Here is a 26738-nt window from a genome sequence, read left to right as displayed (position 1 = left end):
CCACTTCTGAGGTTTAAGCAATTCTCCTGCCTCAGCCTCCTGAGTAGCTGGGATTACAGGTGGGCGCCACCATGCCCGGCTAATTTTTGTATTTTTAGTAGAGACTGGGTTTCACCACATTGGCCATGCTGGTCTTGAACTCCTGAGCTGGTGATCCGCCTGCCTCAGCCTCCCAAAGTGCTGGCATTACAGGCATGAGCCACCACGCCTGGCCCCATTTTCATACTGCCATAAAGAAATACCTAGACTGGGTAATTTATATAGGAAAGAGGTTTAATTGACTCACAGTTTTACATGTCTGGGGAAACCTCAGGAAACCTACAATCATGGCGGAAGGGGAAGCAGGCACATCTTACATGGTGGCAGGCAAGAGAAGAGAAAGTGAAGAGGGAAGAGACCCTCATAAAACCATCAGATCTCAGGAGAACTCACTCATTATCATGAGAATAACATAGGGGAAACTGCTCCCATAATCCAATCACTTCCCTTCCTGGACATGGACACGTGGGGATTACAATTGCAGATGAGATTTGGATGGGGACACAGAGCTAAACCATATCACCATCTGATTCATTCTCATAAACTGTTAATTCATAACAGAGGAGACCCTCATGTAGAAATAAGGACAGTCAAAAATCATGAAACACTTGAGGAAAACCAGCAGAAGAAGAGTCATCAAACTCAACAAGTAAATGAACAACTTCCTGATAAAACAGAAGTCATTACAACTACAGAAAAAAAAAAGCCATTCTATACAAAGAAGCAGAGTTCTTAGAAATTAAAAGCATGATTGCTGATATAAAAATATTTCAGCAGATGAAATGAAGAGCAGAACGGCATGGATAAGGATCAAATTCATGAACACAAAGTTCACTAAATTGAGTTATGGCAATCTCCCACATTCAGTAAATGAAGGCAAAGAAAGTAAAGAGTCAAAGAAAAATACTAACAGCCATGGAGGCTAGAGGCAAGTGTTAAAAAATTCCCAGCCAGGCATGGTGGCTCACATGTGTAATCCCAGCATTTGGAAGGCCAAGGAGAGAGGATAGCTTGAAGTTAGGAGGTTGAAGGCAGCCTGGGCAACAAAGTGAGACTCTATTAAAAAAAAATTCCCATGCATTCCAGAAGGGATAAATAGAAATAATTGAGGGAATGAAAGAATCAAATAATTAATAGAAAAAATGTCTTTCCTGTAGAAAGCCTTAATTCTACAAATTGAAAGGGTCCATTGAGTGCTAGGCAAGAATAATGAAACATTATATCCTCATGAAATTTCTGAATTCCCAGGATAAAGAGAAAATCCCCCAAAGCTTGGTAGATATGATAGGAGAATGACATGTCACCTATAAGGGGTTGATAACCACAGTAGCATGGGACCCTCCATCTGCAGCACTCCATCTGAATCTGGAATTCTAGACCACATTAACCTATCACTTAATTATTTTGAATCCAGAATTCTATATTCTGTTAATGTATAATTAAATTATGGGGTTCGGTGCGGTGGCTCATGCCTGTAATCCCAGCACTTTGGGAGGCCGAGGCAGGCAGATCACTTGAGGCCAGGAGTTTGAGACCAGCCTGGGCAACATAGCGAAATCCTGGCTCTATTAAAAATACAAAAATCAGCTGGATGTGATGGCGCATGCCTGTAATCCCAGCTACTTGGGAGGCTGAGGCACAAGAATCGCTTGAACCCAGGAGACGGGGGTTGCAGTGAGCCAAGATTGGGCCACTGCACTCCAGCTTGAGCGACAGAACAAGACCCTGTCTCCAAAAAAAAAAAAAAAAAATTATGAGGGCAAAATCAATATGTATTTGGACTTGCAAAGATTCGAAGTTTACCACCCAGGAATACTTTCTGAAACAGATACTCAAAGACGTCCCCAAAGAAGGTGAAGGAGGAGGAGAAGTGGGAAAAGAGGAAGACATAGGACATGAAAAACAGTGGCGAGCAAAGAAACCAATAGAGCTTGTAGCTAAGTCCATTGCAAAATAATTGAGTAAAGTATTTTTGTTTTGAAGATTGCACTATTTGCCCAGGTCGATGATACGGGTCTTCACTGTGAGCTGGTCTCTCTATCAGTGAAGGTCTGGAACCATCCGCCTTCACAGCTGTTGTGGCTTCCTCAGCGACTGTGCTGCTCATTGCTGATTTGGTCCCCACTGCCTGGCCTGCTTCTCCTTAGGGCTGTGGGTGGCTGATCCTGGGTCCGGAAATGGGCTGTCAGCAGGCTTCCTTTCAGGGTTTGTGGAATAAAAACACCAACAGCTGAGGCTTTTGCAAGTGAGGAAGGTGATGCTGTGTGTGTGTGTGTGTGTGTGTGTGTGTGTGTGTGTGACAGAGACAGAGACTGGGTGACACAGCCTGTCTCACTTGGTGTTGTCTCCACCACCTGAGGTCGGGGGAGGATAGGTGAATACTAAGCCTGCTGCTCCTTGAACTTGTCTGTTGCAGTGTCTGAAGTTTGCTCCCAAATCCAAGTCCAAATCTAAATCTTGCTGCTGCCCCAGCTTCTGCTGGGGGGATCACAGGGTCTCTTGAGTCCATTACAGTGAGGAGAGAGAGCACTATTGTAAAAATAGGGAGTCCAGGACTTGTCCCCTAAGCTGAGCTGTCCCTTTCCACCCATGCTTGTTTTGCTTTTCTGAGAATACTAGCGTTTTGGGTAAATTACACACTGGTTGTAGCACAGCCACGTGCAGCAGACAATAGTGCACTTGTTGCCCAAGGTCTACACACTAACTCCAGGTAGGGTGTTTGATGTATGTGTGTGTCTAAAGGGAGGGAGAGGTATGCTGGAGAAGGCAGAGTAATCCTACTGTTTCTCCAATAGCAGCAAAGTATCTGAGAGTCATTAAGCTTCAAAAAATGAGAAGTTGGCCTTTGTTTGAGTTAGAGACTTCATCAGAAGGGCATTTCTCCAGAGGGACAGGTCCTTCTTATCAGCCTTTACAAATCTGCTTGAGATGATGACTCCATTCTGGGAGGGGTAATGTGGCTTCTTTGAAGGTGGCCTTGGGGTTTTCACAGATGTCGAGTCAGCCAGGGTTAGATGAGGTGGGGGTGGAGCAGACTGTTACAGAGGGACTGTTACTTTGTTTCAAACACACAAGTTTTCAGCCAATATACTTCAAAGGCTTCAAATATTTAAATTATTTCTGTTAATGCAAACTTCAGGCAGTAAGTGCAACCCCAGAGTATATTAAACTCATTACAATTAGATATTCAAGCCATTCCTAAAAAACCCACATATAAACAATTTATTTACAATTTATGGGAGGCTGGGGAGGGAGGATTGCTTTTGCCCAGAAGTTGAAAGTTGCAGTGAGCTGTGATCACGCCACTGCATTCCAGCCTGGGCGACAGAGCAAGACTCTGTCTCTAAATAAATAAATTAAATTAAAAACAAAAATAACAATTTGCAAGCCTGCCAGGAGCTGTCCCAAAGCAGTCTCTGTAATCATTTATGGTCAGGAGTGTGGTAAGCAAGAATGGATTTTTTTCCAGGAGAGTCCCAGGATATTTAGTATCCAATCTCCCTCCTCGATTCTCCTTCTGGCCTTGTAGCCAGATGGGAACCCACTGGACAAACCCCAAACCTCTTCACACTGGAATCCGACACTGAGAAGAGCAGCTTGGGGGAAAATCTCCCTAGAGATACTGAACCAGTGTTCAGAATGAAATTTTTTGCCTGCCCTCTGCCTTCCCATACCCATGGCTCTCCAGAGTCCTCTCAGAGCTCTCCCGAAATCCCATTCACTTATGTCTCAGGAATATTGGGAAAAATGGGGCTTTCCAAGATATCTTTCTTGTAAACCTGATCCCATATAGATTTGCCAGAACCAAAACTAATTTGGAAAGTCCTTAATATTTGCCTATTTGATAAAATAAAAATAAAAATGGGCATAAACGTTTTTTGTCATTGAATTTTTAAAAACGATTTTAAACTTTTTTTTTTTTTTTTTTTTGAGATGGAGTCTTGCTCTGTCACCCAGGCTGGAGTGCAGTGGCGCGATCTCGGCTCACTGCAACCTCTGCCTCCCGGGTTCTCGCCATTCTCCTGCCTCAGCCCCAGAGTAGCTGGGACTACAGGCGCCTGCCACCACGCCTAGCTACTTTTTTATATTTTTAGTAGAGACGGGGTTTCACCGTGTTAGCCAGGATGGTCTCGATCTCCTGACGCCGTGATCCACCTGCCTCGGCCTCCCAAAGTGCTGGGATTACAGGTGTGAGCCACTGCGTCCAGCCAATTTTAAACATTTTTAAGGCTGGGTGTGGTGGCTTATGCCTATAATCCCAGGACTTTGGGAGGCCGAGGTGGGTGGATCATTTGAGGTCAGGAGTTTGAGAACAGCCTGACCAACATGGTGAATCCCCGTCTCTACTAAAAGTACAAAATTAGCTAGGCGTGGTGGCATGTGCCTGGAATCCCAGCTACTTGGGAGGCTGAGGCAGGAGAATCGCTTGAACTCGGGAGGCAGAGGTTGCAGTGAGCCGAGATAATGCCATTGGACTCCAGCTTGGGCAACAAGAGTGAGACTCTGTCTCAAAAACAAACAAACAAACAAACATTTTTAAGTGTACAGTTCAGTGTTAGGTCCATTCACATTGTTGTGCAATCACCACCACTATCCATCCACAGAACTTTTTTCATCTTGCAAAACTGAAAGTCGATACCCACTAAACACTAAGTCTCAGCCAGGCATAGTGGCTCACAACTGCAATCCCAGAACTTTGGGAGGCTGAAGCGGGAGGATCCCTTGAGGCCAATAGTTCAAGACTAGCCTGGGCAACACAGCAAGACCCTGTCTCTACATTTTTTTTAAAAAATTAGCTGGACATGGTGGCATGTGCTTGTAGTCCCAGCTACTTGGGAGGTTGAGGTGGAGGGATCGCTTGAGCTTGGGAGGTCAAGGCTGCAGTGAGCCATGATTGCACCACTGAACTCCACCCTGGGTGACACAGTGAGATCCTCCTGTCTCAAAGAAAGAAGAAGAAGAATGAGGAGGAAATGGAGGAGAGGGAGAAGGAGAAGAAAGCTTCTTTCAAGTTCTTTTTTAGAAAATGCTGGTATATTAACCATGCTCTCTTGAAAGAACATTTTTCTTAAGTCAAATACTTTGTCAGCAATAATCCCACTGTTCCTCCAAACTTAACACTGGTTCAAGATTCTGTTTTAATTCTTGTGACAAATACTGTTGGATGAGGAGATAATTTTTCATTATGTGATCCAATGAACTCACCATTGAGTAAGAAGTATTGTTTTAACCAAAAATATGTATTTGAAATTTAAAAATGAGCCAATGAAAAGAATTGATGAAAGTCAAGCAATCTAATGTGGAATATAGAGTAAGATGGATTGTCCTGAAATATAATTTTCAAAAAGTTGAAAACATGACTTATGCAACTATAAGATGAAAACATATCTAAGATTCTATTCAATTGATTAATGGAGGACTCAGTAAGTTGTTGATCTCAAAGGAGAACTAGCAAGATGTTAAGGTTCAAAGGAAAATCCAACATCAGGAATGATCACATGAATTTGCTAATAGGTGCCAAACTGGTTAACTAGTTAGTATCATATAGGACAAAATGAAATTAGTGGGTTTAACTTATTTATTTTCTGGCAGAAAGGACTGATCACTTATATTTCTCTTGGAAAACATTCATTTTCACTGCTATGGACATAAATCTTTTACATTATCATCAGTTTTCGGCAAGTTAACTTCTAGCCCTCTAGTGCTGCAAAATAGCCTAGTCAATAGGAAGTCCAGCGACGGTGCACCCAGCACCCCACTGAAAGGATACCCAGTAATCTCTTTTGCCCATTTCCAAGTTTTGGACAAATTTTCCTGACATTATCAATAAAAAATGTATATACATATATACTTAAGTTTATTTATTTTGCAAGGGGCCACAGTGGGGATGAAGTGGTATAGGCTGGTTAAAAATCTTAAGTGAATGGTATATTTGTTGAAACAATGACATGATTTCCAAGTTTGAAGTTTATGGAGAGCTGAACTTAAAAAATTTGTCTAAATAATAGAGACACACCGTCCATCTATTGCTCCCCAAACAGGTGCCTGTCTTTGTTGATCAAAAATAATTTTCAAGAAAGCCTGCTAAGAAAAGAGCTTGTGAGGCCAGATGCAGTGGCTCACTCCTGTAATCCCAGCACTTTGGGAGACCAAGGTGGGAGGATTGCTTGAGCCAAGGAGTTGGAGACCAGCCTGGGCAACATAGCCAGATCTTGTCTCTACAAAAAAAATTTTTTAAATGAGCCAGGCATGATGCTGCGCCCCTGTAGTCCCAGCTACTGGGAGGTTGAGGCTAGTGGACTACCTGAGCCCAAGAGGTTGAGGCTGTGGTGAGCTGTGCACTCCAGCTTGGGCAACAGAACAAGACCTTGTCTCCCCAAGAGGAAAAAAGAGCCTAGGAAGATGAGCTTTTTCTTTGTTTGTTTTTGTTTGTTTGTTTTTTTAAGAGAGGGGGTCTCACTGTATTGCCCACATGGGCCTTGAATTCCTGGACTCAAGCAATTCTCCTGCCCTTCAGCCTCTTTAGTAGCTGGGACTACAGGCATGCCACACTTCACCCAGCTTGAAGTTGATTTTTAACTACTTGTTAAGACTCCACAACTTTAGCCCTTATATGGGTGTGTTTGAAAGTGGTGAGATTTACGGCAGGCTCATGGCAGAGAGTAAACAAGTGAGGATATGGGGTGAAGTAGTGGGGTGCCTGCTCTCGGCTGCGCTCCCACAGACATCACAAGCTCAAAGCCTTCAAACCGGATCTTATTTATTTCCTTCTCCCCGACTAGTCATAAAACCTAGTGGATTCCACTCTTACACACTGCCCTCTTCACACTCATTTGTCAATGCCCAGCTGCAGGACACATCTATCTCTATCTCTATCTGTCTGTCTGTCTGTCTGTCTGTCTATCTATCTATCTATCTATCTATCTATCTATCTATCTATCTATCTATCTATCTGTCTATGGAGTCTCACTCTGTCGCCCAGTCCGGAGTGCAGTGGTGCGAGCTCGGCTCACTTCAACCTCCGCCTCCTGGGTTCAAGCAATTCTCTCGCCTCAGCTTTCCGAGTAGCTGGGATTACAGGTGCCTGCCACCGTGCCCACCTAATTTTTTTTTTTTCAGTAGAGACGGGGTTTCACCAAGTTGGCCAGGCTGGTATCGAGCTCCTGACCTCAAGTGATCCACCCGCCTCGACCTCCCAAAGTGTTGGGATTACAGGCGTGAGCCACCGCACCGGGCCAGGACATGTCTTCTATTGCCTGATTCCTGCAGCAACTCCGGGCTGGACTCTTTGCCTTCCACATCCCAACCCAACCCCAATCCCAATTCCACAGAACAGACAGAGATGTGTCAGTGATGAAGTCATTCACTGCTTGAAACTGTGACAGCTTCCCGGCGACCTCCATCACTTGGGTTAGGAGGGCTAACTTCCCTCTGCAGCTCAACGCCCCTCTCCAACCCTCTGCTCTCACTCTAGGTCCCCATTCCCCATTTCTACAACAAACTCCCGCTTAGATTCCTCCCCAACGTCCTTCTCATCCTTGGGTCTTGGTTTACTCCTTCCCTTGGGATGAGTACGGCTGTGATGGAGGTAGGGGCTGGCATCAGCGCGTCCCAAGCCGGGTGTCCTCAGAGCAGCGGGGACTGATGCCAGCCCCTCCCTCCATCACAGCCCTACTCTCTCTCACTCCCGGTGACCAGGTGTCACCTGGTCAAGTGTGTCGCCCCTGGGTGGCCTGGGTCTGCGTCTTCCGACCTCTCATCTGGGCCTTGCGCTGTGGTCACCTCATCCAGCTCCCTTTCACGTCCTGGAAGATTTCCGCCCCTTGCTCCCCTCACCCCTCTCCCCGGGGGTGCCTCCCTGAGCCCTCGAGTGGCTTGAATCCTCCGCAACATTTCCTCCCCAGCACTCTCCGGGGCTCTGCGTCCAGCTGTGTCATTATCCGATGAGTGTCTGTCCCCCTTTGCGAATGTGAGCGGCGAGAGGGCAGCAAGTGCGGAGCCAGAGACGGACGCGGAACGGGCGTGTCCTAAGCCCAGGCCCCGACAAGAGGAAGGACCCGCGCTCTGCGGCCTCCCGGGGACCCCGCAGCGCCCCCCGCTTCCCTCGGCGGCGCCGGAAGCCGCCGGCTGGTCCCCTCCCCGCGGCGCCTGTAGCCTTATCTCTGCACCCTGAGGGCCCCGGGAGGAGGCGCGGGCGCGCCGGGAGGGACCGGCGGCGGCATGGGCCGGGGGCCCTGGGATGCGGGCCCGTCTCGCCGCCTGCTGCCGCTGTTGCTGCTGCTCGGCCTGGCCCGCGGCGCCGCGGGAGCGCCGGGCCCCGACGGTGAGTGCGGGCTGGGACGGGCACGGGCGGCCGGCGGGGCCCCCGGCTGGGCCTCGAGGACTCTGGGCGCACGGACGCTTCCCCGCCCCTGGGCCGGGCCGGCGCGGTGCCGAGGCGTGGGGCGCAGGTGGGGCCCGCGCCGGCCGTTGGAGATCGGCAAGGAGGAGCTCAGAGAAGCGGGGGGCTCCCCGCCGGGCTTCCCTGCCCCCGCCCGACCCCGCGACGCCGGGGGACGCCGGTTTTAAGGCGGCCTGGCCGGGCCCCCAGGGACCTCCACTGCCCAGGAGGCGGGGTGGGGGCTGGGCGCGAGCGCGGACCCGGGCAGGGCGGCGCCCGGGGAAGGGCGGGGAGGCCAGGGCGTTCTGCGGCGCTGTCACGCTTCCGGCTCTGCGGTGGCTTTTGCATGACACATTTTTGACCCGAAGCAATTTTCTTACCACTTTTAATTTTTTCACGTTGTTAGAGAGCCGGATGCTAAATATGGTGAGAAAGACGCGTAAGGAAGAGTACAGGAGTGAAGCCATTAATTCACTCATTCATTCAACAGATGGCCCTTGAACAGCTTCCCTGTGCGCGATGAGGGCGGGCAGTGCGGGCCCTCGTGGAGCTCATTGTCTGGAGGATTTAGACCAGCAAATGTTCTATTTCCAAGCAATCGAGGGAGTTGTTTTTCCTCCTCTGCAAAATGCAGTGTTGAGCTGAGTAGGAATTACACAGAGGATTCAGACACGCAGGGGAGGTGACATTCATCCACATAACTGTAATACAAGGCAGAATGGCATGGGTGCCATGAGAAGGTGTGGGTGGTGAGGGCAGGGAAAGGGGAATCGGTGGTGACCCTTGAGCTGGGCCATCAATGATTGGTCATATTTGGATATGGGAAAATGTGAAAAAGGTATCCCAGCTCATAGCAGAAGGCACTGTCACCTCTCCACAAATGAGTGTAGAATGAATGAATTCCTTCAGAATTCAGGCCCGGGGGAGAAGGGAAGGAAGCACACGGAGGCACCAGAGGCAGAGGGCAGAGTGCCTTGATTGGCAGACCTAGGCCTTTGGACTTAGCTGTGCCTGGAAGCCACTGGAAGCCGTCTCAGGGAGTGACAAGAAAAGTGGGTCTAGCCAGTTCTAGGCGCTTCGGGAGCCACAGGTTACAGTGCAGACATGGCCAAATCCAAGCACCACACCACACACAACCAGTCCCGAAAATGGCACAGAAACGGCATCATGAAACCCGGATCACAAAGATACGAATCTTTTAAAGGGGTGGACCCCAAGTTCCTGACAAACATGCGGTTTGCCAAGAAGCACAATAAGAGGGGCCTAAAGAAGATGCAGGGCGACAGTGCCAAGGCCATGAGTGCACGTGCTGAGGCCTTGCCCTCATAAACCCCAAGGAGGTTAAGCCCAAGATTCCAAAGGGTGTCAGCTCTTGCCTACGTTGCCCACCTCAAGCTTGGGAAACGTGCTCGTGCCCGCATTGCCAAGGGGCTCAGGCTGTGCCAGCCAAAGACCAAGGTCAAGGATCAAACCAAGGCTCAGGCTGCAGCTCCAGCTTCAGTTCCAGCTCAGACTCCCGAAGGAGCTCAGGCCCCTACAAAGCCTTCAGAGTAGAGATCTGTGTCTGCCAACGTGAGGACAGAAGGATTGTCCCCCTTGGACTGCCATCTGCATGGGGCTGATGTCCTCCTTTGCTATTTGTATAAGTAAACTTGAGGCGGGGGAAAGAGGGTCTAAGGAACCCCCATCTTCCTTACTAAAACCAAACGCTGATCCTGAAGTGGAAGGAAATTTCCATGTGATGACATACAAGGAGACTTGTGGTTGAGAATCCTGCCTGCCGCCCCCACCCCCATTCTCTTTGGCTTGGGACTTTTACCATGCCTGATGGGTATTTCAATGGCTTGATCTTCTGGAGTGGCCATTTTTGTAATATTAGGTGCCCTGGTTAAGATTCCTTCCTTGGCTCTATCTCCGAGAACAGTGCGCATAGGACTTGCAGATGCTTGGCGTCTATTTCAGGATCTTCCTGTGATATCTCTAAGGTAGGAAACTGTCCAGTATGATCCCATTGAATTGTTAGACTAAGATGGCTGAACACAGCTAGTAGCTACGTAAGGTCATCTGTAACTAAAGGTTTTGGGGGTGAATTTGGGGAAACAGAAGTCAAGGCTTCCTGGTTGAGCCCCCTCTCCTTATCTAGACATTCTCCCTTCATGTTCAACCTTGGAGAACCTGGTTTTATGAAGGGCAGGTTTCCTGACAGTCGACAATGTAGGGAAAGACTGGAGGCTTGGACAAGCCCATTGAGGAAGTTGTTGCAATAGCTGGCCTGGAAGTTCTGAGGACTGGGCCCACAGTAATGACAGCAGAAACGGACTGAATGTAGACAGTAAGGTGGAAATGGACTGGAAGGAAGGATTTAATAACAGATATGAAGGTGCAAGGGAACAGAAGGGGAAAGATGACACTAAGGCTTGGGGGCTGGGTGACTTGGTATATGTTTCTACGGAAGGAGAAAGATTTGGAAAGAAAGATGATTAGTTGTTTTGGACATCCTGAATTTGAGGTGCTGTTATGGATTTGGAGAGATGAAATCAATAGACTTGATGGTTGCTTGAAACCTTGAAGTTGACAAGATTGGGAGGATGAAAGACAGATCCTTGGAGAGGATTCTTGGAGTTTAGATGGTAGATGCAAGTCGAGAAGGAAGAAGCAGCATCTGGGTAGGATGGAGAAAGACTAGGCTCATTTAGTCAAGGAAACTAGGAGATGGGAAGCCGAGAGGCAGAGATTGAGAAAAAGCCTTTGAATTGGATGGATCTGGTCAGTGGAGACCCAGAGCTAGTAGAGGAGAGAGGGTGAGAGCTAGATGTGAGGGCTCTAGGTTGAGGGCAGAGACCTTGTTTACGGAGTAGATACTCTTTTTTTTTTTTTTTGAGACAGTCTCACTCTGTCGCCCAGGCTGGATGGAGTGCGGTGACATGATCTCGCTTGCTGCAACCTCTGCCTCCTGGGTTCAAGAAATCCTCCTACCTCAGCTTTCCGAGTAGCTGGGATTACAGATATGCACCACCACACCTAGCAAATTTTTGTATTTTTAGTAGAGATGGGGTTTCACCATGTTGGCCAGGCTGGTCTCGAACTCCTGACCTCAAGTGATCTGCCCGCCTCAGCCTCCCAAATTGCTGGGATTACAGGCATAAGCCACTGCTCCTGGCCTCGGAGTAGATACTCTTTAAAGAAATTAGAAGGAAAACGAAGGTAGCATTCAGCTGGGCTGGTCAAGTCAGTCCAAGATGTTTAGAGAATGCAAAACAGACTCAAACATATTTTAGACTGAGGGGTATTATTTAGTAGAGAGGGGAAAAATGAAAAAGCAAAAATAAATGAGATAGTTAATGGACAGAGCAGGTCAAAAATTAAACTTGGGCTATAAGTGGGGGAGGTTAGTTTCTTAAAGTGGGGGGCGAGGAAGAAGATTAGAGGACTGTGTTTCCCTTCTCCCATGGCGGGCTACTTAATGAGTGCTATTCATATTTCAAAGCAAGCCTGGGTGTCCTCACTCCTCCTAGGAAGTCCGTTGCCACTATCCGCTTCTCTTTACAGCACCAGTAATACCATATTCCGTGCCTTGGTTGTACACTTATACCATATTGCAGTGTGATTGTTTACTAAACTAAGAGCTCCTTGTGGGTAGGGACAGTGGCTTGTATTAGGAATCTGGTAGGCAAATAAATGAATACCATCCAAACAAGAATAAGCAAAGGCTATTTATTCAGAACTTGCTGTGACAAGGGAGTCAGCCATCATCACTTCCATTTGGCAGAGACTCAAAGATAGGCTGGGGGTGGAAAAGTTTTACAGTAGAAAAAGGAAGGGGGTTGGGGGTGGTGGTGGTTCAGGTACGCCCAGCTGGAGAAGTTTTCTAGCAGCATGCATCCCATGTGATTGGTGAGAGGGCCATATCTGGCTTTTCTGGTTAGTCCCAAGTTGGAATTGGGGGCAAAAATTAGCGTAGCTGGCCGTTACTGATTAAAGCCTGACCATTTGGGGCTGATTGCTACAGAGTTCCTGGAATGATTGCTGCAGATTGTGGGTTAGACTTCTATTTTAATATATGGGCTGGGTGCGGTGGCTCACGCCTATAATCCCAACATTTTGGGAAGCCGAGGTGGGTGGATCACTTGGGGTCAGGAGTTCGAGACCAGCTTGGCCAACATGGTGAAACCCCATCTCTACTAAAAATACAAAAAAAATTGGCCGGGCCTGGTGGTGGGCGCTTGTAATCCTAGCTACTCCAGAGGCTGAGGCAGGAGAGCCGCTTGAACCTGGGAGGCAGAGGTTGCAGTGAGCCGAGATCATGCCACTGCACTCCAGCCTAGGTGACAGAGCAAGGCTCTCTCTCTCTCTCTCTCTCTCTCTATATATATATATATATATGATCTGGCCATTGTCCATTTGTATATTCAGTCTGTCACTGGCAACATGGGCTGAATGACATTAATTGGCATCAAAGATGTTTTGGGGAGGAGAGCTGAAGTCAGTTGAACTGAAGTCAGATGACCTGAGTGTAAGGAAAGTGTGTTTCGCGTAATTGATATGGCAGGAGGGTGTTGGTGGCTGGGTGGGGTGCAGGGCCCAGGGGAGTCCAGAGGGTAGGAATGGGCGAGGAGGGGTAGAACCAGTTAGTCCTGTTTCTTAACCTTTCTCTGGCATTCGTTGCTAGAGTCAGGCCTGTTGGCTCAGGCCTGGCTGGAGGTCAGGAAGTTGTTCTTGCTGTATACAAAGGTCACCTGACTTCACTCATCATGCATTTCATGCTTGATCTTCCCTCTGTCTTCAGGAATCACAGCAGCACATTCACTATTCAGGGTGAGCCACAGGAGGAAAGAAGAGAAATAGAGTGAGTGGATTGTTTTGGAGTGATTTAAAGTTACTTAAAATAAAGGGTGCAGGATTAGAGTTGATGAAGATGCCCACCATGGCTTGTCTTCCACCTCCAGGGACTTGGTCCTGGGTGTATTCTTGGTCTTCTGGTCAAATCCTAAAATGGGATGCTAGGTCTCTGTAGCTCAAAATCCCAAGTAGTCTGTTGGCCTCAGCTCTGCAGAAGAGAGAGGGAAAATGAACTGCAAAGATTAAGAAAAAGGATACACTCAGCTTGGCGTGGTGGCTCACACCTATAATCCCAGCACTTTGGGAGATTGGGGTGGATGGATCACCTGAGGTCAGGAGTTCGAGACCAGCCTGACCAACATGGAGAAACCCCATCTCTACTAAAAATGCAAAAATTAGCGGGGCATGGTGGCCCACACCTGTAATCCCAGCTACTCAGGAGGCTGAGACAGGAGAATAGCCTGAACCCGGGAGGTGGAGGTTGCAGTGAGCCGAGATCATGCTATTGTACTCCAGCCTGGGCAACAAGAGTGAAACTCCATCTCAAAAAAAAAAAAAAAAGGTACACCCTTCTGGAGAATGAATCAGGTATGAGACAGGTGTGAAAAGAACCGGTAGGGGTTAAGTGAGTGACTGCCTGACGTGAACCGTAGGGTGTGGCGTAAATGAATGGCACTCAGTGTGGGTTGGTTTCTGGTCCTGAGGCCAGGTGTGGGGGCCCCACTGCTGGTTGATCTTGGTCACACCAGAAAGTGAACAGGATTGGGTCGTGTGAGCCATTTTTTATGAGGAAAGGTTGAGAGTTCTTTTTTTGTTGTTTGTTTTTTGATTTTTTTTTTTTTTGACTAGTCAAGTACAGTAGTGAGAAGGGGGAAAGAGTAGAATGAGAAGTTTGATCTGTAACTGACTGTCCACAATCAATTGAGATAACTCACTACCTTTGGACCAGCCCAACTGAGAGTTCTTGATGGAGAATGTCAGTCCTAAATTTGGGTGGGTGTGGGAAATATATGACAATTTGAATAGCCCTGCAAATATTACATTGCTGGAGAGAGTAGAGTGCTCTCTGTCTTGGAGGGATTTAAAAGCAGAGTCTATGTTTTCATTTCTGGATTTTTTTTTTGTCAGGGATGTTGGAAAGGAGAGAACATGAGATTTCTCAGATTCCTTCCACCTCTGGAATTTGGTGCAATCTCTTAAGAGCAATGCAATTTTATATAGTGTTAGAGACCACTTGGGAATGCTTTTTCTTCCTGAGTTTTGGGCCCCGTTGGCTTATTTCCTCCCGTTGTTTGATCTGTCTTTCCAAATTTGACAGACAGAATCTCAGGAAGGTTGTGCTGGATTTGTTTGGTCTGACTGTGAATGGTTGAGGGTTAGGTTAAAAGCAGATTTAAAATTTAAGCACTGCATTTGTGCTTTTTTGTTATTGTTGCTGTTGGGTTTTTAGAGATGGGGTCTAGATTTTTGGCCAGGCTAGTCATGAACTCCTGGGTGCAAGTGATCCTCCCATCTCAATCTCCCAAAATGCTGGGATTACAGGTGTGAGCCATTGTGCTTGGCCTGCATTTGTGCTTTTAAACTACCTTCTTCTCTTGACTGTGAACATCTCTTTACTGTACTATTAAAGTCCATCAGCTAATGTCTCAGAAGTACACTGAAGTTGTTGCTCGTGTATTGAAGTAAAGAGTGAGAGTGTTTCTCAGAAGCTGGCAGCCTCCCTCCCATCCTGAGTTGCAGCTTTACTTGGTTGCAGTGGAGAGGAAGGACAGGTGAGCAGGGCTGAAAAGGTGAGGAGCTGAACTTTCAACTTCTGAGTCAGCTGTTACCCAGAAGGCTGGGAGGATGTGGCGAAGACAGGGAGTGATTATGTAAATTTGAATATTATGGTTTCTGGGATATCAGCCCATCAATGGGTAGACACCTGAATGCACAAAGATACCGCTCTTGATTTTTGCATCAGTGCATTTCTCTGTCACTCTTCCCATTGGAGTAATTGGGAGTTGGCTAGCCAACCACCAGTGTTAGTACCTTCTTTTATTCATTAACAAAGAGTCGTTGAGTGGTTGCTTATAACAATGTCTGACACATTTTAATTGCTTTTCATGTATTAACTCATTGATATGGTTTGGCTGTGTCCCTACCCAAATCTCAACTTGAATTGTAGCTCCCATAATTCCTATGTGTTGTGAGAGGGACCCAGGGAGAGATGATTCAATCATGGGGGAGGTTTCCCCCATACTGTTCTCGTGGTAGTGAATAAGTCTCACAAGATCTGATGGTTTTATCAGGGGTTTCTCCTTTCACTTGTCCCTCATTCTCTGTTGCTGCTGCTGTGTAACACATGCCTTTTGCCTTCTGCCATGACTGTGAGGCTTCCCCAGCCACTTGGGACTGTGAGTCCATTAAACCTCGTTTTCTTTGTAAATTACCCAGTCTCGGGTATGTCTTTATCAGCAGCATGAAGAAAGACTAATATACACTCATTTACTTTTGAATCCTCACAACAACCATATAAAGTAGGTTTATTATTCTTCTCATTTTACAGATTTACAGGAAACTGAGGCACAGAGCTCTCCAAGGATTACATAGCTAGTAAGTGGCATAGCTAGGATCGTAACTAACCCAAGCGCTTGTAACCACCATGCCAAATACCAGGCACTGCATCTTGCAGACTGTTTCTAACAATAATAACAAAATCTGTGGAAATGGATATAAATATTCATGTCAATTGTCTCATATTTGCGTGTTGCTTTACACTTCATACAGCATTTATATTTCTTATTTAATCTTGGCCACAACATGTTCATCTCATGGATTAAAATGAGAGACCTGGCTGGGCACAGTGGCTCATGCTTGTGATCCCAGCACTTTGGGAGACTGTAGCAGGAATATCGATTGAGCCCAGGAGTTAGAGACCAGTCTGGGCAACATAGGGAGATCCCGTGTCTATAAAATAATAATAATAAAAAATTATCTGGGCATGGTGGTGCATGCCTGTGGTCCCAGCTACTTGGGAGGCTGAGGTGGGAGACTCGCCTGAGCCTGGGAGGTCGAGGCTGCAGTGAACCATGATTGTGCCACTACACTCTAGCCTGGGTGAAAGAGGGAGACAAAAAAAAATTGGAGAACTGACAGTTTAACTTGCTAAACTCACATAACTAAGGATCATGACTCCAACCCTGACTCTGGTTGAGACACCAAAACCTGTCTCACCCTCTCATTGTTAGGTGTAGTTTTAGCTGGGGTAGTCACTGCAGAGCTGGGACGGGTAGTGAAGCTAGCTCAGCAGCCTTAGCCGGGGGATGTGGTAATAGTAACAAAGAGCACTTGTCAGGTTTTCTCTCCTTTTAGATTTTGGGTTCTTCAACTTTCCTGTTTCTCTGCCAGTAATTCTAGACATCCCTCGGGGTCCCTCACCTCTGCAGTCATTCCCTCGGTTACTACATGGCAACCACCTCCCTGCTTTCAGGCCCTGAGTATGCTGACGACAGAACTAAAGCCATCCTTGACGTGGGTACCAAGTGCCCCCGACACAGCTCTCCCTCAGATCCTAGCAAAGCCCTAGTGATCTTTCTCTGGCCTGGAGAATTCCTCTCCCTTGGGTTATTCTATTACATTTGTCCCACAGCTGTGCTATGTGGCAATCGAGACTTGGTGAAAGACTTCTTTCAGTATTGCCTTTTCTTTCCCCAGGATTCTGACTCCAGTCCCTGAGGTTGAGGTTGAGCTAGTCTGGCAGTGTTCCTCTCTGTGTGGTCCACCTGGGAGCAGTTTAGAAATGCAGATTCTCAGGCCCTGCCTCTCCCCTACTGAATCAGAATCTTTGGGGACACTGTGTTTTAACAGGATTGCCAGGAAGCATGACCAGCTGTCTTGGTTTGCACAGAACTGAGGGGTTTCCTGGGACACAGGACTTTTTGTATTAAAACTAGCATGAGTTAGTCACTCCGTCTCCAGGTGATTCTTAACTGAGCCTCAGGCTGTGGAACAGTGGACCCGTGTGGTCAGAGAGTTGTCCCGCAAAGTCCTGCAGAATAGGCTAATCACGGCTGAATAATAAGCACCCCTGCCTGTATTTCTTTGGAAACCACCTTCTCATCTGCAGATAGTCTGAGAAGCCTTGGTAGCCTGGAACCCATCTTACGTTTTTTTGCTGGTGTGGGGAACAAACATGTATTGAGCCAAATTCTACTGCATGCCAGCTACTGTCTTTGCGGTTATACTTATGCTAAATTATTTTCTTTCTTTCTTTCTTTCTTTCTTTCTTTCTTTCTTTCTTTCTTTCTTTCTTCTTTCTTTCTTTCTTTCTTTTCTTTCTTCCTTCCTTCCTTCCTTTCTTTCTTTCTTTTTCTTTCTCTTTCTTCCTTCCTTCCTTCCTTCTCTTTCTCTTTCTTTCTTTCTCTTTCTTTCTTTCTTTTTCTCTCTCTCTCTTTCTCTCTTTCCTTTCTTTTTGATGTGTGTATCTCATCTAAATAAATGATTCTTAATGGGTCATTAAAACAGGTACCCTAAGAATGAAGTGTATGCCAGGTGTGGTAGCTCACACTTGTAATCCCAGGACTTTGGGAGGCCGAGGTGGGTGGATTGCTTGAGGTCAGGAGTTCAAGACCAGCCTGGCCAACATGGTGAAAACTCATCTCTGCTAAAAATAAAAAAATTAGCCGAGTGTGGTGGTGCACACCTGTGGTTCCAGCTACTCAGGAGGCTGAGACACAAGAATCGCTTGAGCCTGGAAGGCAGAGGTTGCAGTGAGCTGTGATCGTGCCAATGCTCTCCAGCCTGGGGGACAGAGCGAGACCTTGTCTCAAAAAAAAAAAAAAAAAAAAGTGTCAAAGACCTAGTATTTGATAGCACAACACCACAACAGGTTTACTATAGTTAATAATAATTTAATTGTATATTTTAAAATAACTAAAAGACTATGACTATTGTTTATAATACAGAGGATAAATACTGAAAGAGATGGATATCCCATTTTACAATACATGATTACTACGCATTGCATGCCTACATCAAAACATCTCAGGTACCCCATAAATATAAACAGCTATGTACTCACAAAAGTTAAAGTTAAAAATAAAAAAGAAGGAAATGTCAGAACTTTAGGGAGAAAGGACTTTCGGGGGGCTCTTTATCCTCTGCTACTCAAAATGTGATCCACCTGTGAGCTTCTTAGAAATCCAAAATATAGGGCTCCTCCCCAGACCAACTGAATTGGAGCCTGCAGTTTAACAAAGGTTAAGATCCCCAGGTATTTTTTTGTTTGTTTGTTTGTTTTGTTTTGTTTTTGAGACTGAGTTTCGCTCTGTCGCCCAGGCTGGAGTGCCAGTGGTGCAATCTCGGCTCACTGCAACCTCCGCCTCCCGGCTTCAAGTGATTCTTCTGCCTCAGCCTCCCAAGTAACTGGGACTACAGGCACCGGCCACCAAACCCGGCTAGTTTTTTGTATTTTTAGTAGAGATGGGGTTTCACCGTGTTAGCCAGGATGATCTCAATCTCTTGACCTCATGATCCGCCTGCCTCAGCCTCCCAAAGTGCTGGGATTACAGGCATGAGCTACTGTGCCTGGCCCAGGTGTTTTGTTTGTATTTTTCTTTTTTAGTATGTATGTATTTTTTTTTACCTTTATGGTTACATAGTAGGTGTGTATATTTATGGGATATATGAGTTTTCTCTTTTTTTTTTTTAGAAACAAGATCTCATTCTGTTTTCTAGGCTGGAGTGCAGTGGCATGATCATAGCTTACGTAACTTTGCACTCCTGGGCTCAAGCAACCCTCCTGCCTCAGCCTCCCGAGGTGATTTGAATGCACTTTAAAATTCGAGAAGCCCAAAGTCCTTGTTTTAAAGGTGAAAAAACTGAGATCCAGAAAGGTTAAGTGGTGTGCTCAAGGTCACACAGTGAATTAGACTCAGCTAGATTTAGGATCCAGCTCTAACTAGCTTTCAAGTCCAGTGCTTCCCCCTATACCTGGCTGCCTTCCTCTAAGGCCATGTGTTTGTCTGGGGCTATTTATTAAATAAACTTGAACTTAATTCAGTTTCTTTTAAAACATTTTCTATTCTATCCTTCACTAATTCAGACTGGACTTCCTTTAATTTATCTGAGTGAGTCCCACCTCTTTTCTTCTTCATATTTTTTATGTTTATTAGATTTACTCAATAGTTACATGAAATAGCCATTTTCCAGCTGATATTAAGTTTTTTTATTTTTTTTATTTTTATTTTTTTTTTGAGACAGAGTCTTGATCTGTTGCCCAGCCTGGAGTGCAGTGGCACAGTCTTGGCTCACTGCAACCTCTGCCTTCCGGGTTCAAGTGATCCTCTTGCCTCAGCCACCTGAGTAGCTGGGATTACAGGTGTCCACCACCATGCCTAGCTAATTTTTTTTGTATTTTTAGTAGAGACAGGTTTCACCATGTTGGCCAGGCTGGTCTCAAACTCCTGGCCTCAAGTGATCTGCCCTGCTTGGCCTCCCAAAGTGCTGGGATTACAGGCGTGAGCCACCATGCCCAGCTGAGTTTTTGCAAATGGATCTATATAATCTCTGCATCTTTATAAGGACAAGTTTTTTAAATTTTATTTTTAACATTTTTAAAGAGACAGTCTAGCTCTGTTGCCCAGTCTGGAGTGCAGTGGCTCAATCAAAGCACACTGCAGCCTTGATCTCCTGAGCTCAAAAAATCCTCCCACATCAGCTTCACAAGTAGCTGGGATTACAGCTATGCACCACCATGCCCAGCTAATTAAATTTTTTTTTTTTTTTGGTAGCGATGAGGTCTTGCTATGTTGATCAGGCTGGCACTTTGGTAGGCTGAGGTAGGAGGATTATTTGAGGCCAGGAGCTTGAAACCAGCCTGGGCAACATAGTGGGATCCTGTCTCTAAAAAAGTAAATAAATAAAACAAAAAATTAGCCAGGTGTGGTGGGATGTGCCTGTTGTCCTAACTACTCTGGAGGCTGAGGAAGGAGGATAGCTTGAGCACAGGAGGTCAAGGCTGCAGTGAGCTGTCGTCACACCATTGCACTCCAGCCTGGGTGACAGAGGCGACAGAGTGAGACCTTGTCTCAACAAACAAACAAACAAACCAAAGTGATGAGATTACAGGTGTGAGCCACTGCACCTTGCCCTAGACAAGTATTTTATATAAGAAAAAAATCTAAAAAATTTGCATTTGTCAACCTTAAATAATGAGATTCAGAACGTATGATTACATATAGAGTTTATTCAAGCATAAAACTTGAAGGTGGCCACTGGGAAACACTGACTTCAAATGAATGGAGTGTTCATTCAAAAATGGGGAAGTTACAGTTTCATTTATGTAGAAATTGTAGCAGAATTACATTTTCCATACAAGACCAGTGCATATGCCACAGCGATTTGGTTGGTTACAGATTGCTGCACTCCAAGGAAAATTACTTTATTACTCCATGAGGAGAGATAGCGATCTAAGGGGGTCTTATCTCTGGTGCCATTTGGGCTTAATTATTTACAGGGGGAAAAAGAGGCAGAAGTTACAGCTGTATACTTTGTGACTCAAACTGCATAGCCACATTCCTCTCAAGGCTTGGTATAATTTAAAGTTCCAACAGCTTTAAGTTTGAATTACTTAATTTCTCATATTTCATTGTTTCAATAGAATCATATTTATGTCTATTATTGTACTACACACATTTATATGTGACTTCAGTGTCTACTTAAGGTTTTTAGCCTTTGAACCGCGTGTTTATATTGTCTGTTCACTGGGGAAGTAGCTTATAATGGGCTTCTTTGGTTTTCAGTGAAAAATTCTTACAGGCTTCCTTAGCTTGGGTTACTTTAGTTACTTGTTCTCTAAAGCTATGTACCTGCTATCTACCATCTCTCAATGGCATCATGAGAAATTTGGGATCCAGACACAAAATGATTTCCCTATAGAAATTTGAGTTTCCCTCCCCTTTTTTGCCATCAAGGCTTTAATTATATTAGCCCCCAAGTGAAAACAAACCAAATGTTTATCATCAGATTGTGTACCATATATTATCAGATTATCATCAGATGCAAATTGTGCATCATATATTCTGCATCTTGCATTAGGCAGTTGTTTCATGGTTGTCTACATTTGTTAAAACCCACTGAAACTGCACACTTAAACATGGGGGTGTTTTATTGTGTGCATATTATATCTCAATAAAGTTGATTTTTAAAGTAAAAACTGTAATTTTCAATATTTTCTTACTATTGTGGTAAAGTAGACATAAGGCAAAATTTTACCATTTTAGCTATTTTGAAGTGTGCAATTGAGAGGCAAGTTGTATATTGTTGTGCAACCATCGCTACCATCCATCTTCAGAACTTTTTCATCATCCCAAACTGAAACACTACCCAAGATTTAGGGTATTTAATAAGATTGCATTTTTTTTTTTTTTTTTTTGGATGGAGTCTTGCTCTGTCACGCAGGCTGGAGTGCAGTGGCACAATCTCAGCTCACTGCAACCTCCGCCTCCCGGGTTCAAGCGATTCTCCTGCTTCAGCCTCCTGAGTAGTTAGGATTACAGGCGCATACCACTGAACCTGGCTAATTTTTGTATTTTAGTAAAGACGGTGTTTCACCATGTTGACCAGGCTGGTCTCAAACTCCTGACCTTAGGTGATCTGCCCACCTTGACCTCCCGAAGTGCTGGGATTACAGGCATGAGCCACCCTGCCTGGCCAAGATTGCATTCTATCTACAAATTAAATTGGGGAGAATGTTCATATGTTCATCATTGTAGGGTTGATCACAAATGGGTTCTTCAACTTGACCCAGGATCCATTATTTAGAAAGTATTTCCAAGATTTTGGTTGCGTGTCATTATGAATTTTTTTTTTTTTTGAGATGAAGTCTTACTTTGTCACCCAGGCTGGAGTGCAGTGGTGCTATCTTGGCTCACTGCAACCTCTGCCTCCAGGGTTCAAGTGATTCCCCTGCTTTAGCCTCCTGAGTAGCTGGGACTACAGGTGTGTGCCACCACGCCTGGCTAATGTTTTTGTATTTTTGGTAGAGACAGGGTTACGCCATGTTGGCCAGGCTGGTCTCAAACTCCTGACCTCGAGTGATCCACCTGCCTCAGCCTCCCAAAGTGCTGGGATTTATAGGCATGAGCCACCGTGCCTGGCCCTGCATGTCATTATGAATTGACAATGTACTGATCACACGGTTTAAAATGTTTTGTGCTAAAATGTTAATGTGTTAAGATGGTTAAATATACTTACCCATATGATGGACATTTAGGTATGGGGACTCATCCTCACTTCAGTTTGGTGTGTTGTCCTTCTAATGTGGAGCCTTCTGGTTCATTTTCTCCCGGTCGTAAAATTCTGTTTTGTGCGGCATCAGTGAAGGAATCCAGGCATTTAACTACTCCTTGCAGGTATTTTCAACCAGTTCCTTGAACTTTCATTCCTGTTCCTTATGTCTGTCTTCTGAAATTTGCAAAGACTCTGCTTCCTGGGCCTTTCTAGGATTGGCTTTTAGTTCTTCCTCTCTGCTAAGGCAATTACCATGCATCCATCTCTTTTTCTTTTTTAACAGAGATGAGGTCTCATCATGTTGCCCAGGATTAGTCTCAAACTCCTGGGATCAAGGCCTCCCAAATGCTGAGATTACAGGCATGAGCCACTGTACCTGGCCCATCCATCTCTTTCTCATCTTCTTTATTTTTATTTTTTGAGATGGAGTCTCACTCTGTTGCCCAGGCTAGAGTGCAGTGGTGTGATCTCAGCTCACTGCAACCTCAGCCTTCTGGGTTCAAGCGATTCTCTTGCCTCAGCCTACTGAGTAGCTGGGAGTACAGCTGCCTGCCACTGCGCCCGGCTAATTTTTGTATTTTTAGGAGAGATGGGGTTTCACCACGTTGGCCAGGCTGGTCTTGAACTCCTGACCTCAAGTGATCCACCCGCCTTGGCCTCCCAAAGTGCTGAGATTACAGGCGTGAGCCACTCCGCCCAGCCTCATTTTCATTTTCTGAAATACTTTTAGCATCTTTTGTCTGCTATCATCTTCTCTCTCAGGGTTTATACCTTCCTAGTCTTTTATGTAATTTTCCCCCAGTGCATTTGATAATATTTTCTAATTCTTTAACATCTTTAAAATTGTATTTACTAATCCCTAAATCCCCATTTTCTTTTTTCCTTTTTTCAGGTTTCTTATATTAAAATTCTAGTGTTTTCTTTTTTTTTTCTTTTTCTTGGCTGCCTGCTTTTCTCTCTCTTTTTTAGGCATCAAACCAACTGAGACTGGGAGATTTCCAAACATGCTAACCATGCTGCTGTTTTGTGTGTTCTTTTTTAAAATAAGAGATAACTCAAAAATGAGAAAAACCACTAATTATCACTAGGTAATACCAAATTAACCATGGAATATTTATTCTATCTCAGATCATAAAGGAAAATGCAACAAATTTGAAAAAAGTAAAAATTTTAAAGGCCGCATTGAAGTATAAAAGTATACTCTTAAGGTATAAAAACGCATAAGTCTTACATTTGTGGAGTAAATATGTTTTTATACCTAGTGTTAAACATTTCAATTTTGATATTCCCTTTGTCCTAAGAATTATTTAGGAGAATGTTCTGTGGTTTGCAAGTATGTTTTTTTGGGGATGCCAGTCTTATGTTTTGTTTGATAGTTCTATTACATTATTATGTGGTCAGATAATTCAGCCTTTAACATTTTTACTTGTTTGGAATTTGTTGCATTTGTCTTTACGGTCTGAGATACAATAAGTTTTGGAAATATTCCATGGTTAATTTGGCATTACTTAGTGATGATTAGCGGTTTGTCTTATTTTTGTGTTGTCTTTTATTTTTTTAAAAAACACGCAGAACAGCAGCATGGTTAGAGTGTTTAGAAATCCCTAGTCTCAGTTGGTTTCATGCCTGGAGCAGCCTAAGGGCTAGGCTGTCTTACCTGGGTAACAGTGGAGCCAAAACTAAAATGAAATTCAATGCTAGAAAGATTCTCTTTACTAGGTCGCTCCTGAAATTACAGAGGCACTGAGAGTGAAACACAGTATACCACATAGCCTTGGGTAGAAATTCTTGTTTGATCTTGGGCCATATATCACCATCTGGTAGATTTGGATGTTTTAGAAGTTTTAGCCTCAAACAATTCTGCTGTTTATTTCAATAATTGGGATCTGGTCATCCTACTGGGACTTGGCTGTTATATCACTGTCATCTTAAACACATTCATTTTTTTCTTTGGAAAAAAAAAAATGAGTAGGGTAATAGGCAGCTGTGTTCCTCTTCACTCCATTTGCTTTTTGAGTTGCAGCAAGCAGGATTTCAGATTTCTCTATCCAGGCAGTCAATAAAAATATATTGAGTGTCTGCACTGTGCCATCATAACATATGGGCAAATGACATCATCCCTATCCTTGAGCGGCTCATTCATAATACTGAGCTTGGAATACAAAGCTAGAACCAAATATAATGACACATTAACATGATTGATAGGGAATGTGCCAGTGTTAGGGGAGCACAGAGGAAGATGCATTTAATTTTCCTTAAGAATGGAGGAATGGGCCGGGCGCATTGGCTCACACCTATAATCCCAGCTCCTTGGGAGGCTGAGGCCAGTGGATCCCTCAAGCTCAGGGGTTCGAGACCAGCCTTGACAACATAGGGAGACCCCATCTGTACAGAAAATACAAAAATTAGATGGGTGTGGTGGTGTGCGCCTGTAGTCCCAGCTACTTAGGAGGTTGAGGTGGGGAGAATTGCATGAGCCCGGGAGGTCAAGGCTGCAGTGAGCTGAGATCATGCCACTGCGCTTCAACCTGGGCAACAGAGTCAGACTCTACCTCAAAAAAAGAAAAAAATGGAGTAGTGGGGAAGACCTCAGAGGGAATGTGACATTAAGCTGGGTCTTAAAATATGAATAGGTGCTAGCTAGGTAGAGAAGAAGGCATAGGCATTTTAGGTATATAGAGAGTATTGTGATTGTGGCATGCGAGTAGGATAGTAGATATTCTGTTAGGGAAAGAGTAGTTAGCCTCTGACATCTGGCAAGTACCATGTGTGGTTGGGGCTCGGAAACAATGAGGCTGGAGGAGTATGTCTGGAGTGAGATCACTAAGAGCATTGACTGTGGCCTAGCTCGGTGGCTCACGCCTGTAATCCCAGTACTTTAGAAGGCCAAGGTGGGTGGATTGCTAGAGCTCAGGATTTCGAGACCAGCCTGGGCAACATGGCAAAACCCTGTGTCTACAAGAAAAAAAAAAATTAGCCAGGTGTGGTGATGTGTGCCTATAGTCCCAGCTACTTGGGAGGCTGAGGTGGGAGGTTCACCTTCTCCCAGGAGGTTGAGGCTGCAGCGAGCTGTGATTGTACCACTGCACTCCAGCCTGGGCAACAGAGCAAGACCATGTCTTGAAAAAAAAAAAAAAAAGAAAGAAAGAAAGACATTGCCACACAGAGGAAGAGATTTGCACTTTATTCTGTGAGAAATAAACAGCCACTGAAGGTTTTTAAGGATGAGACTAGGTGTGTCCTGTGTTATTTTGGTCTTCAAATTTTGGTTCTTCGTTGTAAATGTCCACTAACTACATGTGTCTCATCTTGCATTTTTCTTTTTCTGAAACATACAATTTATGATTCAGGTTTAGACGTCTGTGCCACTTGCCATGAACATGCCACATGCCAGCAAAGAGAAGGGAAGAAGATCTGTATTTGCAACTATGGATTTGTAGGGAACGGGAGGACTCAGTGTGTTGGTAAGTTCTGAACTCTGGGTTAAGTTGAAAAGCTGAATCGAGAAACAAGATTCTCTTGTATTAAAGAGTTGATGTCCTTGGGGAAAAACATTGTTATTTTGTTCACATGTTTTTATTATGAGAAGTTTTGTCAATTATAATAAGTCTTTGTTTTAGTGTTTGGATACATTCTTTCTCTAGTGTTTCCAAGATAGTATTCCTCATGTTAGAGGTCATTGAACTTGAATCTCTGGAAACTCTGGGACCTAACACAAATTTGACATCTGTTTCAAGTCTTAAGTTTAACTTCACAACTCAAGTGAATATTGCATTGCTTAATTTCTCTGGTTATTTTGATATAAAACTATATTAGTACTATGAGGAAAAACAAAACAATTTGCCATTGGACTTTATGGTTAATTGGTAAAATACTGTTGCTTTGGGTCTTATGTCTGTCAGAATTCATCCTCCAAATTTTTGGTAGTTGTGATACTTTTAGGGACTTAGATGACTTAAAGGAACTCAAAGCCCTTTAGGTTAGAAGCATCTGAAACTATTTTTTGCCTCATGATATCCACCATGCCATGACAGTCAGACAATATCCAGGTTCAAGCTCAATTCAGAGAGAGGGAGACTTTCACAACAATTTTACAATAGTAAATGTTGCAATAATCTTCCAATTTCCTCCCAGCAACCTTGTTATATGCATTAAAAATATTGATGGTTTTACCTTACAGTTGTGGATAGATGGTATATACAGCCTT

At 44.8% G+C, this 26738-nt stretch overlaps 1 protein-coding gene and 1 pseudogene across 15 annotated transcripts in view, besides 4 other annotated features; both read left to right on the top strand.

Moving 5' to 3' along the window:
- Nucleotides 2297-2446: an enhancer, noted in NCBI's record as "active region_28820". NCBI's record gives its function as "activates an Ori minimal core promoter by ATAC-STARR-seq in GM12878 lymphoblastoid cells {active_cell/tissue: GM12878}" and the evidence as "EXISTENCE:reporter gene assay evidence [ECO:0000049][PMID:35858748]".
- Nucleotides 8080-8739: a silencer, noted in NCBI's record as "silent region_20188". NCBI's record gives its function as "represses an Ori minimal core promoter by ATAC-STARR-seq in GM12878 lymphoblastoid cells {active_cell/tissue: GM12878}" and the evidence as "EXISTENCE:reporter gene assay evidence [ECO:0000049][PMID:35858748]".
- SUSD1 (sushi domain containing 1) overlaps nt 8198-26738 on the top strand; it is a 134515-nt gene continuing 115974 nt past the window's right edge. For all 15 annotated transcript variants that reach the window (XR_007061338.1, XR_007061340.1, XR_007061339.1 and 12 more), the window contains exons 1-2: nt 8198-8362; nt 25882-25995. Coding sequence is in view for 11 of the 15 variants with exons in the window: in XM_047423727.1 (XP_047279683.1) it covers nt 8260-8362; nt 25882-25995 (217 nt within the window). In the remaining 4 variants the exon portion in view is untranslated. The remainder of the gene's footprint in view (nt 8363-25881; nt 25996-26738) is intronic.
- On the top strand, nt 9482-10081 carry RPL29P20 (ribosomal protein L29 pseudogene 20; annotated as a pseudogene).
- Nucleotides 16519-17018: an enhancer, noted in NCBI's record as "NANOG-H3K4me1 hESC enhancer chr9:114928757-114929256 (GRCh37/hg19 assembly coordinates)". NCBI's record gives its function as "activates a minimal SCP1, AML or CMV promoter by ChIP-STARR-seq in primed H9 embryonic stem cells {active_cell/tissue: H9 hESC(primed)}" and the evidence as "EXISTENCE:reporter gene assay evidence [ECO:0000049][PMID:30033119]".
- Nucleotides 17019-17520: an enhancer, noted in NCBI's record as "NANOG-H3K4me1 hESC enhancer chr9:114928255-114928756 (GRCh37/hg19 assembly coordinates)". NCBI's record gives its function as "activates a minimal SCP1, AML or CMV promoter by ChIP-STARR-seq in primed H9 embryonic stem cells {active_cell/tissue: H9 hESC(primed)}" and the evidence as "EXISTENCE:reporter gene assay evidence [ECO:0000049][PMID:30033119]".

Source organism: Homo sapiens, chromosome 9, assembly GCF_000001405.40.
Source record: "Homo sapiens chromosome 9, GRCh38.p14 Primary Assembly".
In the NCBI taxonomy this organism is placed as follows: Eukaryota; Metazoa; Chordata; class Mammalia; order Primates; family Hominidae; genus Homo; species Homo sapiens.
This window is presented reverse-complemented; position numbering and strand designations above follow the sequence as displayed.